Below are 12930 nucleotides of genomic sequence, written 5' to 3'. Positions count from 1 at the left end.
ACAGTTTTATTATTGAATACAACCTAAACTAGAATGTGTGGTTCTCAGAAAAGTAGTTATTCATGTGCCACATAAGGATGTTTCAGTCAACAATGAGCCATATATATGATGGTGGTCCTGTAAGATTACAGTGGAGTTATCCTATACAGGTGTACTATTTTTTGTGTTTTATACCATATTTGCCTGTAGATTTTCTGTTTAGATGCTCAAATACTTATCATTGTGTTACAATCACCTACAGAATTCAGTACAGTAACCTGCTATACAGGTTTGTAGCCTAGGAGTCATAAGCTGTACCATCCAGCCTAGGTGGGTTGTATGCTATACAATAGAGGTTTCTGTTGTATATGTGAAAGTACAGTCTATGATGTTTGCACAGTGACAAAATTGCCTAATGATGCATTTATCAAAATGTATCCATGTTCTTAAGCAATTCATGACTGTATATTACCTTCTGATAATGCTTCATTTTTCATGTATCCTAAGGTTATTTGCAAACTGAGTTCATTTAATAAATTGCAGTAACATAAGTAATTATAAAACTCTTTGTAAACCAACACCTTTTCCCTTAAGAATAAATGTCAATTTATAAACATGAAATTTTAAGTGGTATATTATTTTTGTGTATAATGATGGCTATAGTCTGAATGTTTGTGTCCTCCCAAAATTCCTATGTTGAAATCCTAACGCTCAGAGTGATGGTATTAGGAGTTCGGACATTTTTGTTGGTGATTAGGATGTGAGGGCTTTGCCCTCATGAATGGAATGAGTGCTCTTATAAGAAAGGCCCAAGGGAGCTTTCTGCCATGTCCACAATATGAAAACACAATGAAAAGATCACATTTTATGAACCAGGAAGTAGGCTCTGACCAGTGAATCTGCTGGTACCCTGATCTTGGACTTTCCAACCTCCAGAATTGTAAGAAACAATTTCTGTTGTTTATTACCTACCCAGTTTGGGGTACTTTTTTGATATCAGCCAAAATGGACTAAGATAAAAATATAACACATATTTATATGTAGTTTTAAAGGCCTATGTTAAATTATTTGATATGATTATATTCAGTTATATTTGAAACATAAAAGACAACCTGTCATTTAGTCATATTTGTATTACAGGACAATAAAGTGTAATTTAAAAATTTACTAATGTAAAATACTGCAATAAACTATATAGCTATTTGCTGATTTAAAAATTTCCATTTCTTATGGGACCTCAGTACCCATAATGTATGAGTATTTGGCAGGTTGCTTACATGTGGTATTTTATATTTTTCACTCTTTTATTTAAGTGAAATATACTTGAAAAAGCACAGGTGATATTATAAGCAAAAGAATACCTTCAATTCTTAAGTTAGGATGAATCATATAATAATAATTTTCTCCATGACTTGTATTTACCACTGATTTGAACTGTTGTGACATTTTTTATTGCCTTTAACTCAATAGTGCTTCAATTTCTTGAAAATACTTCTGTATAGAAATCTTAAAGTATAAACTAGCATGGACATAAAAAGACAAGACTATTTAACAATAATGAATCAATTAATCACGCAATTACTTTTTCCCAGAAATAGTAGCACCCTAAATTCACCTAACCTTGATTTTCACTAAACACAAGAATCAGATTTTGAGCTCATGCTGATCTTCCGTAAGTATCAACAATACAACCACATTTAAAAATCTATGTCTCTCTTCCTTGGGGCTTGCCATAATGCCATATTACAGGCAACTGAAAGCTTCAGATAAAATATTGATGTTTTCTAACTATTGTCACCTAGTAATATCGAGCTTACATTCATTTCTGAGACTAAGAATCCTATCTCAGAGAAGAATACTGCAGGAATTATAGATGAGAGAGAGGAAAGCAATAATATAATCATTGAGGAAGGTGCTTTGCTGTGATTCAGTGGTGACCTGGTAATATGATCTTAGGCAAGCTATCTCATCTTTCCTTTTCTCAGTCTCCGCATTTGCAAAGAAGAGTTAACACCTGCACTCATAATACATTTGTAAGATGTAGATCATTTCTTCTCCAAATAGAATTTAGCCCTCACTCTGACCTCCACATATGAGCTAATTAACCAGAAGAAACCCTAAAGCCATAATTATACTTGCAAATACAAGGAAAGGATTATTATGCAATTTAGCTGGTTCTGGTCCGCATTACATAGAAATTCATGCAGGCAAATGTGTTTCAAATTAAATGTTTGTTTTTTCAAAATCCAATTTGATGCATATACTATGTAGTCTAGTGTAGTATATAGCTAAACAAACACATCATATATATGCAATAAAACACCAATATTCATGTAAACAGAGAAAATGAACACTACAGATACTTCATACCAATTCATCTGCTTTTGTGTTTTCAAATCAAAAAAATTATCTGGATTTTAGATTTTTTTTTTTTTTTTTTGAGACAGTGTCTCCTCTCTGTCACCCAGGCTGAAGTGCAGTGGTGTGATCACAGCTCACTGAAGCCTCGGCCTCCCTGGGCTTAGGTTATCCTCCCTCCTCAACCTCCTGAGTGCTGGGACTATAGACATGTAGAGATAGGGTGTCATCATGTTGCTCAAGCTGCTTTCAAACTCCTGGGCTCAAGCTATCTGCCCTCCTTGGTCTCCCAGTGTTGGGACTACAAGAGTGAACCACTGTGCCTGTCCTGGTTTAAGAAAATTTGCATTTCACAATATCAGCTAAGCAATTTAGAATTTTGTTTCATGTAGTCAACATATCACAGAGTGAAATAAAAACTTTACCATAAATTTGAAAAGTAAAGCCAGTGATTTTTAGAGAATTCTGTATTTTTGGTGAAAAGTTTTGAATTTATAGGGATTCCTGTTCACTATGTATTATTAAGTTATTATTATGATCAAACAGTTTGAGAAACAATATCTCAGTGGTCAGTGTAAAAGGTCAAAATCTGTGTATGGATAGAAATGAGTACCAAGAACATACATAAGTCAGTGTAAATTACTAAATAAATATATAGATAGTTCCAAGCTGAAAAATATGGTTTGAAGGAGAGAGGAAGAGTAGGAAAATCCAGAAACAGAAATAAGATGAGTGATACAGTGAGGGGGTGGGAGTGGGGCATAAGCAAAATCTTTAAAGGAAGAGGAGGTTGTCATAAATAGAGGAACAAAAATAAAAAAGTAATAGACGTGCCCTGGAAGCATGATTTTTGTTTGTTTTGTTTCCCTGAGTGACAATGTTGTTGGTTGTTGATTTCTGGTTAAACTATACTATGACTATTTAAACTTGATTTAGTAGTACCGTCATTCCATATGCAATACTATAAAAATATGACAATGTGTGATATACTTATGTGAATTAGCTTTCAATGGTTTCTACAGAAAGAAAAAATAAAATAGCATCTTAAATGACTCATTAAATGAACAGAGATCATTTTAAATGTTTGACATTTTCACTGATACATAATGGATCATGTGTAATGATTTAGAAACGTAAATGCGAGGACTCCGGGTGTTTTATGGAAGTGAATGTTTTACACTTTTTAAAAATTCTATTTTGGTGATTAAATATTATGGAATAAAACCAAGATCCTTATTACAGTGGAAATATGTTTCTCCCTTTCTATTTACATGTCATACAAAACTACAAAGTAAAACAAGACATTTAAAGAGAAATAAAATAATATTTGTTTTTAATAAAATATGGAAATGGAAAAATATTTAAAGATGTTTTCATAAATATACAATTGTATCCTCATAGTCTAGAAGATGAAGCACTTAACCTTTACATTTTATTTGTGTCATTGAAAGACACATTCTTTTGATTTATGAAATAAAATTTGACCCTAGCTCATATATCACATACATCATATCCTGAGGGTTATAGGAAACTGACTGCAAGGATCCATCATTATTCAATGTGAATAAAAGGTAATAACACTGACATTTGTAAAGTACACAGCAAGAATCATGTCTACCTTGTAGTATTGCCAATTTTTAAATGGTTCTATATCAAAAATTATCATCCCTTTGTTATACTTCCTTTTGTATTTGTTTTTTTGTGCCTTATAATTTGCTTGTATTGTTTCATTGACCACAAATGTCATTTTGCTGGTTAATAATCTCATGCTTATTAATCATTTGAAACTTTTAATTGGTCTTCAATATTTAACTCAAACTTTCTAATTATGAGTGTTTGCACCAAAGGCAACTCAAAATTAAGTTAAAAAATAGTATACCAATAGCATTATGTTTACATTCTTATAAAATTTCCAGCCTGCATGGTGACTCATGCCTATAATCCCAGCACTTTGGGAGGCCAAGTTGGAAGGACCACTTGAGCCCAGGAGTTCAAGACCAATCTGGGCAACATGGCAAAACCCTGTCTTTACAAAATAAATAAATAAATGAATAAATAAAATGCAATTTCTAAGAAGATGAACTTCAAGTATGACTTTCACCTGATGAGGTTCAGGACACACTACCCCAATATGACACACTGGCATTCAAGAAAAAAGAAGAAGTAGGGAGTCCACTGTCCGCTTTCCCCCACCCTTCTCCCCTGAAGCAGGTCAAAAGATCTTTTTCCACAGGTGGCTTCCCTATATCCAGAAGAAAGAAACAGTGTCATCCTCAAAGACACACACATGTCAACAAACATCTGAACAAACAGGCCTGCTAAGTACCACCAGTTCATTACCATCAGAACATATCTTTTGTCCAATCATACTTCCCCACAACTGACCACTCCTCATCAAATCTGAGCACAGAAATACACAGGGGCTCCTATTTCTCTGGAAACATTTCTGAAGGCTCACATGTCGTGTAAAATTTACATTAAATGAATCTGTACGCTTCTCTCTTTTAATCTCTTTTATTATAGGTGCCTCATCCAGGAACCTGGCCACCAGTGAAGAAAATGACTTTTTCACACCTGCAAACTTTTTGATTCTTTTAATTAAAAATATGAGATTATCTAAATATTGCTTACTACTATTGACAATGTGCTTTGATGAAAGATCATTTTCAATATATCACTAATTAATAGCTTAATAAGAGATATTTTACAACTCTGTTTTGTTAAGAAAACACATTTTTTCATAACAAACTAAACTGTAATCCATTGACTAGGCTTTTATGAATTTAAAATTATTGAGTCTTTGTTAATGAATAATTTTTAAGGAGAAAAAATAAACTGGATGTATAGGATGAAGAGTGGAAAAAACTATTCAGAAGACTTTCCAGGGATCAGTAGCCGCATTATATGTCTACTTATTTTATTTCATTTTAATAACCAAATACTAATGTCATCAATTTCAACATATGTGACGAAATTAAACTCAAAAGGGTGAAATAATGTGTTCAACATTAAAAAGCTAATAATATAGTCCAAACTGAGCAGATCCATGCATGCCTTTACATTTATTAATACTTTTCCAACATGTTAACAATTTTCTCTTTTGAAAACAATTGATGAATTCTATTATGATATTGACCATACCATTTTTACAGTCTCATTAGTTTTTGCAGAATTACTCATCTTTTCTGCCCTTTAAAATTCTTACAATTGTTTTCCAGCCATATATTCTGCCTATAAAAACAAGTCTTAATTCCTAGTGCCATCCAAACCCTCCAATGAGCCGTTGTTAGTGTACATGTGTGACCCCTAACCGACTTGTATTTCCCTTGGGGCTTCAGGACCAACCTTTTGGCAGACTCTTTTGGCTAGCTAAACACCAATAGTTCCCAACTGAGTCTTTTTTTTTTTTTTTTTTTGAGACAGAGTCTCTCTCCGTCGCCCAGGCTGGAGTGCGGTGGCGCGATCTCGGCTCACTGAAAGCTCCGCCTCCCGGGTTCACGCCATTCTCCTGCCTCAGCCTCCCTAGTAGCTGGGACTACAGGCGCCCGCCACCACGCCTGGCTAATTTTTTGTATTTTTAGTAGAGACGGGGTTTCACCGTGTTAGCCAGAATGGTCTCGATCTCCTGATCTCGTGATCCACCCGCCTCGGCCTCGGTGCTCTGTCCATCCTCTGCAGGTTAAAAAGGACAGTTACAAAATCCCTCACCTCTCTTATAGCTAGAGTTGGACACAAGGCCTGATTCTGGTTGATTAAATGCATTGTGTTAGTTGCCTAAGCTATTCACTTTAAAATCAAGTTTTAAATACAAATCTCACATTCCAATGGGCTGCATGCTCTTGATGACACAACAATATATTTCCTGTGTCCCTGATAGGTTAGTCAGAAAGAAAATTATGGAAAACAGGAAAGGGATGTTAGAAATTACATTTTAACCAAGCAGATATTATCATGCATATAATTATTTGCAAAAGTAAGATATTAGTAGTTAATAGCTAATATATGTTTTTAATCATATGGATAAAAGGAAACACAATGATTTTTCAAAAGCATTTAAATTGTCCAAGAAATAACAACAAAGCTCAGTGAATTGGACTTTATTTAGTTTCTTATTGCTGCTCTAACAAATTATCACAAACTGAATGGCTTAAGGCAGCAAAATTTTATTACTATACAATGCTGGAGGTGGGAAGTCCAGAATTAATCTCTGTAGGCTAACGTCACTATGACTTCAGGGCTAGTCTCTTCTGGAGTCTCCAGGGCACAACCCATTTATTTTCTTTTCCGGCATCTGGAGGCCACCTTGATTTCCTAGGTCATCTGATCTTTCTTCATCTTCAAAGCCAGAGGCTTTGCATCTTCAAATCTCCCCCTGCTTTCATAATCACAATAGCTTTCTACTTCTGACCATTCTACTTCTCTTTTATAAAAGCGCTTGTGATTATATTGCACCACCTCAAAAATCCAAAATATTTTACCTCTCTCAAGAATCTTAATCTCATCTGCAAAGTCGCTTTTGTCATTTAAAGTTACACTTCACATTCCCTTGAAATTAGGAGGTAGGTATCTTTATGGAGTTATTATTCTGTCTACCTAACTGACCAATAACATATGTACTTAAGTTATGGCAGTGGTATTAATTCCTACACCAATACTCCTAGGAAAACCAGCTTTCCCTTTTTACTCAAGACTGTACCAATTTTGTCACCAAAAGTCCAGTGTGTTGTTATACCTCCTGTTCTAGTCACATTGGAATGGCTAGTCATCTTACCTGGGTCCGCAGGCAGCTCTAGTCTTTATTCATTCTTCAAACAAAAATATTATATCTGTGTCCTGAGCAGTGCTGACTTTTAACTACAGGATATTTGGCTAGATATGGGTTGGCCATGGTTAAGGGACTGGGTTTGGAAAAAACTAAAAAATTGTGAGTAGTATGAAATCCAGCAGGGACACTAATGTATATATGATCATTCTTCCTGATGTCTCATGGCTACTCCTATGGCTTTTATTATCAAATGAATAACGAAAGCTAACCTATTTCACTGTTAAAATGTGTCAACCTCTAGGTCACTCAAATAAAATCAGAGATTCAAGGACCCTCAGGGAAGGTGTGGCTATTGTCACAAAATTTGGAATAAGAATTTTGGATTCGTCATCTTTTTATTTTTCTTACATTTGCTGGAAATTTTTAAATTTTAGAATGATTACTATAAATTATGCCAAAGCTATTGTTCACGTAGACCCACAGACAAAAGCTCAATTCAAAAATCTGTGTATATATGTATAAATAATTTAAATGAAAGCTCATTTCTATTTCTATATTTTGCTTAGTAGCAAGTAGAAATATTTTACATTTATTGCTAAGACAAAAGATTTTAACTAAACTCTACTGGATGACCTTTTGCAATAATTATAAAATTTACTCAGAAATAACATAATAATTTTAACTCTTGGTGACAATTCTAAGATTCATGATAATTGCTCATAAATACTATCATATTTAGTTAAATTTAAAATGTCTTTGTTTCAAGTAAAATTTCTAACACTTAAAATATGTACTAGAGATAATTGAGTTGATCTCCTTTAGGACTTAGGCATTAAACATATCTGAACAAAGATACTTTCAGGAAAGGCCACAACAGGTGCCTTCCAGGACTATTTCCGTTTTAATTATCTCGGTGATTAACGATTTGGTCACTCTCTTTCCCCAGTCTCCTTTATCTACATCTGGGAAGAAATGGATATTTTTGTCCAATACATCAAACATGAAAATCTATGAATTCTTAAGCTATATTATTCACAAACTTCTCAGCCAAACATGACCACACTGCAAATATGATAAACATCAAACACATTAAACACACACAAATACACAAATACACACATACACACACACATGCAATAACAAAATAATAATGTCAAAAAAAGATACTGAAAAACATGCATAATTTCAGGAAAGCAAAATCTAATATGTACTTCTGAAAAAGTTTTAGAAAAAACACAGAAGGAGCCATACAAAAGGGCAGAATACACTGGAATTTAAAAGACAAGCTACATTTGTGAGATGTCATAATTATTCCTTTAAAAGTAATCCTGGTTTCTAGAGAGTCTAACAAAAAGAAGTCCAAGAAAGATTTTTGGACTAGAAAAAAACATATAAGTAAGTAATTAAAAGTCAGGAATCACTTGGGAAAAATTTATTGTGTATTACTTGTTATAACATACTAAAAAGTTTTTATCATATACTAATTTGTCAATTTTGTTTTTTGGTATAATAAGGCGAGTGGAAATGCAAGCAGTTGTAGGGATAATTCTTTACTTACAAAGTGTGAACTGCCAAGCATCCAAACAAGAAAGAACATGTACTATAAATAATAAAAAAATGTCAATAACATTAATAAAACAGTAAAAACCATATCTGGAAATTCTGAAGAAATCCTTGAAATGAAACTAAACTTACAAAACAATGTATTAAGCAAATTAATACTATGACAATAATCTGGAAACTAGCCCAGGAGTTAAGAGATAGATAAATAAGAAACATTCTACAGTCTTAGGTTATTTTAGCTTTAAAGTCTGAATAAAGGGTGTGATTTCATTTTTTAAATTGATCTCCACATTTTGCATCAACTTGTCAATATTAATATACTATATTTTCTGTTAGATACAATTTTATATTGTATCGCATTCCATTTTCCATTTGTTATTTTTGGTAATATTTTTCTGTTCATTTTATCTTAATATGAAATTTACTCACCCTAATTACATTGTAAATAAACTATAAAAGCTGAACTGTCAGCGCTTAATGTAAAAGTCAGAGAAAAAAGCCAGTAGCTATTTGTAAAATTATATATTGGATATTATTATTGCTGCTATTGAAAGATAAACATTTTTGTGCCTGTAAAACACAGTAACAAATCAAATCATAAAAACAAAAGGGGAAAAAAAGAGAATAGTAGATAAAAAAGCCAAAAGATAACTTCCTCCGCTAAAGTCTGTTTATCTCAGGTTCCTACTTTATAAATATATATACATCTATATAATACTTTAATGTATGTAAATACATATATACATAAATATGAATTTATGCATAAATACATATTAAACATGAATATGTGTGTATATATGTATTTTTTCTATTGAAACCCAATTATAATTTGCAAGAAAAGAGTTCTTATGATAACTCTGAAATGTGGGTGTGCTAGTAAGCTCATTATATTTAAAGGCAAGACTTAATATGGTCACTTATACCCCAGATTACTGATTGTAAGACAATATATTATTTTGGATGATTAGAATGAAAACATAGAAGAAAGAGAAAAGAAAAGAAGAACAGGGGCTATTAATGATCTATTGCTGTATAATAAATTTCCTCACAATTTAGTGGCTTAAAATAATAAATGTGTTTTTTCTTACATTGTTTCTGGGTCAGAAAATCAGGTGCATAAAAGTTTAATTGTCCTGCTTTGGAGACTCACAGGAAGTTGCAGTTAAGATTTTAGCCAGGACTACAGTCATAGTAAGGCTCCACTATGGCTGGGAGATTTATATCCAAGATGGCTGGCTAACATGGATGGTAAGTTGGTCTTGGCCATCAACAAAAGGTGACAGCTTCAGACCATGTGGACCTCTCCATATGGCTGTTTGAATGTCCTTACAACATGGCAGTAGGCTTCCCTCAGAGCAAAATATTAAATAAAACAAAATGAAGTCACAATTTCTTTTATAACCTAAACTTGAAAGCCACAGTATGCTATTAATTCTACAAATCAGTCATGTTTATGGCTTATGGTCAGAGAGGACTACATAAAAATATGAATACCTGGAGATGAAGTTCACTGTTTATGCTCTTGTGGGCTAAGAATCCCGGGAAAGAAAAAAAATATATTGAAAATTAAATATATATTTTCTCTAAAATTCAGTTTTTGTTTTAATACTCCAATAGATTTTAGATTGAATGATTAAAGGAATTCTCCTCTATATTGGGCCAATGAATAAGTCTCATTTCCTAACCCACTCAAAACAAGTGTGTGTACTAGGGGCCTTGTACTAGTTCACTGTTACACATAGGATTCCTCAAATTCTTCTTTTGACTTTGCTTCTAGGGAAGATCACTCAAGTTTTCTGAAGACACTTGAGGATCTGAATATAATTTTTTAGAATTTAATACAGTATTCCATTTGGAATGAGATTTTATCATACAAGGTCTGGATAAGTCAGCTTTTTTACCATGCATGAAAAAATTCTCACTCAATCCTTAAGGATTCCATTACATTCAGACCCAGGTAACTTGCTTCTGGTTGGAAAAGCAAACTCTGGATTCACTCTGGAGGAGTGGGTTACCACATTCAGTTATTTCTCATCAATTAAAGAATAAGTCCAAAAAGTTTTAGAAAAAGGAAGCAGCTAGTATAGCAGTCTTGGCAGAAAAACTATAAAGAAGACAGGTGAATCCCTAGTGCGTTTAGGGCATGAGGTAGGGCAGCAGTTCTCAACCTTTTTGGCACCAGCGACCAGTTTTGTGGAAGACAATTTTTCCAGGGATGGAGGGTGAGGGATGATGGATGATGGTTTCAGGGTGAAACTGTTCTACCTCAGATCATCAGACATTAGATTCTCATAAGGATCACACAACCTAGATCCCTCACATGCACAGTTCACAATAGGGTTCATGCTCCTATAAGAATCTAATGCCACAGCTGACCCAACAGGAGGTCCTTCCACCACTCACCATCTGCTGTACAGCCTGGTTCCTAACAGGCAATGGACCAGTACCCATCTGTGGCCTGGGGGTTGGGGACACCTCGGGTAGGGTAAAGATTACACATACCATTAATCAATGTTTATGCAATTACTACTCTAGGAAAATTTACTTCATAAAAATTTTGAGTTCTAAGAGAGATATTATTTGGAGGAACATAAAATATTCCACAGGTGATATTTTACTAAGTACCCTTCACAATCTTCTCTTCCTAGCTGGACCTCTAGATGGCTGTTCTTTTTCATATATCCCCCCATATAATGTTTCATTTTTTGTACCCAACCAAATCTGTTATCCCAAGTAGAGGGGATTTTTTTGTAGCTGTTGCCTTCCATGTAGCCGATTCCATACTACCAATTCTCATCAGAAAGCAGTGGGCCTGAATATGTCTCTTTCCCTGTCACATTCTTCAAGAGAAATATTCTTCAAAAAATTTTTTTCTTCAAGAAATATGGTGGCCTACTTTTTTTCCACCATGAGAGAAATGAATGAGGAAGATACATACAGTTTATATGTGGCACCCGACCCTCGTGATTGCCATACACAATCGTTTCCGCAGGGCGTGGTCGCTCATGCCTGTAATCCCAGCACTTTGGGAGGCCGAGGCGGGTGGATCACGAGGTCAGGAGATCGAGACCATCCTGGCCAACACTGTGAAACCCCGTCTCTACTAAAAATACAAAAAATTAGCTGGGCGTGGTGGCAAGCGCCTGCAGTCCCAGCTACTCGGGAGGCTGAGGCAGGAGAATGGCGTGAACCTGGGAGGTGGAGCTTGCAGTGAGCCGAGATTGTGCCACTGCACTCCAGCCTGGGCGACAGAGCGAGACTCCATCTCCAAAAAAAAAAAAAAAAAAAAAAAAAAATCGTTTCCGCCTCTTCTTTTATGAAATTAGAATAAAGGTCCCTTGGGAATATTTCAGCAGCAGAGAGAATTCATGAAGATAATTTCACAATCTGGAAAGGATTATGAGCTTGCATCAGGTTCCTCTCTCCAACTCAAATTTATTGATGAGTCATTCCCTCTGTCTCTTTGCTTTGAGGAAAGTGGTGTGTAAGTAACTGTTATTAGTGCAAACAGAAATAACAGAATTCAAAGATACATGGAAAAATGGGGAGAGCTCTAAATTCAGATTCTTTGCAATTTGCATGCAACCCTCACTGAATCACACACTGGATGTGTCATTCACACTAAAGTGATTAATTTTGGGATGAGTATGGCAGAGTTATTTTCTTAGACACAGTCTTGTACAAGATGCTTATTCAAAGAGCAGCACATAAAAAGTATCAGAAACAATCCTCACAGAACCTAGGAAAATCTTTTACTTTGCTTTATTTCTGAATCTATCCCACATAACTTGAAATCTTCTCGATGTCAGGTAATGAATGATTATGCTTTTTATTTAGACAAAGTGATTTAGAAATTTTCTAGCTTCTAGCGTCAAGCTTCGGGGCCTTAACACTCATTTACTAATATCTTCAAGTATGTCAAACTCATTGTGCTAAAGATTAATATTTTATTTTCATGTTAAACAAAGTATCATTTTGTTATTGGGCTCAATTTAACTTAGAAGGAAGTAAGATATTAGACTTTTATTATTTGTCTCCTTTCTAATAGGAAACCTCATTTTTTCTTCCCTGACCTTTTTTTTTTGTTTGCAAGCAACTAACTAGGATATCATCAATTAGAAAACCCAAGGCCCTTAAAGGAACCTCAGTTTCATTATAACTCAGGTTTCTTTTTTTTCAATGTTTAGCCAACCTTTATGCATCAAACATACCACATTGAGAATGGGGCTAGAAAGATTTAAGGTCATTAAAGAATGACCATCATT

This window comes from Homo sapiens, chromosome 5 (genome assembly GCF_000001405.40).
Source record: "Homo sapiens chromosome 5, GRCh38.p14 Primary Assembly".
NCBI classification, from domain to species: domain Eukaryota; kingdom Metazoa; phylum Chordata; class Mammalia; order Primates; family Hominidae; genus Homo; species Homo sapiens.
The sequence above is the reverse complement of the archived record's forward strand: the minus strand, read 5'-3'. Positions refer to the sequence as shown.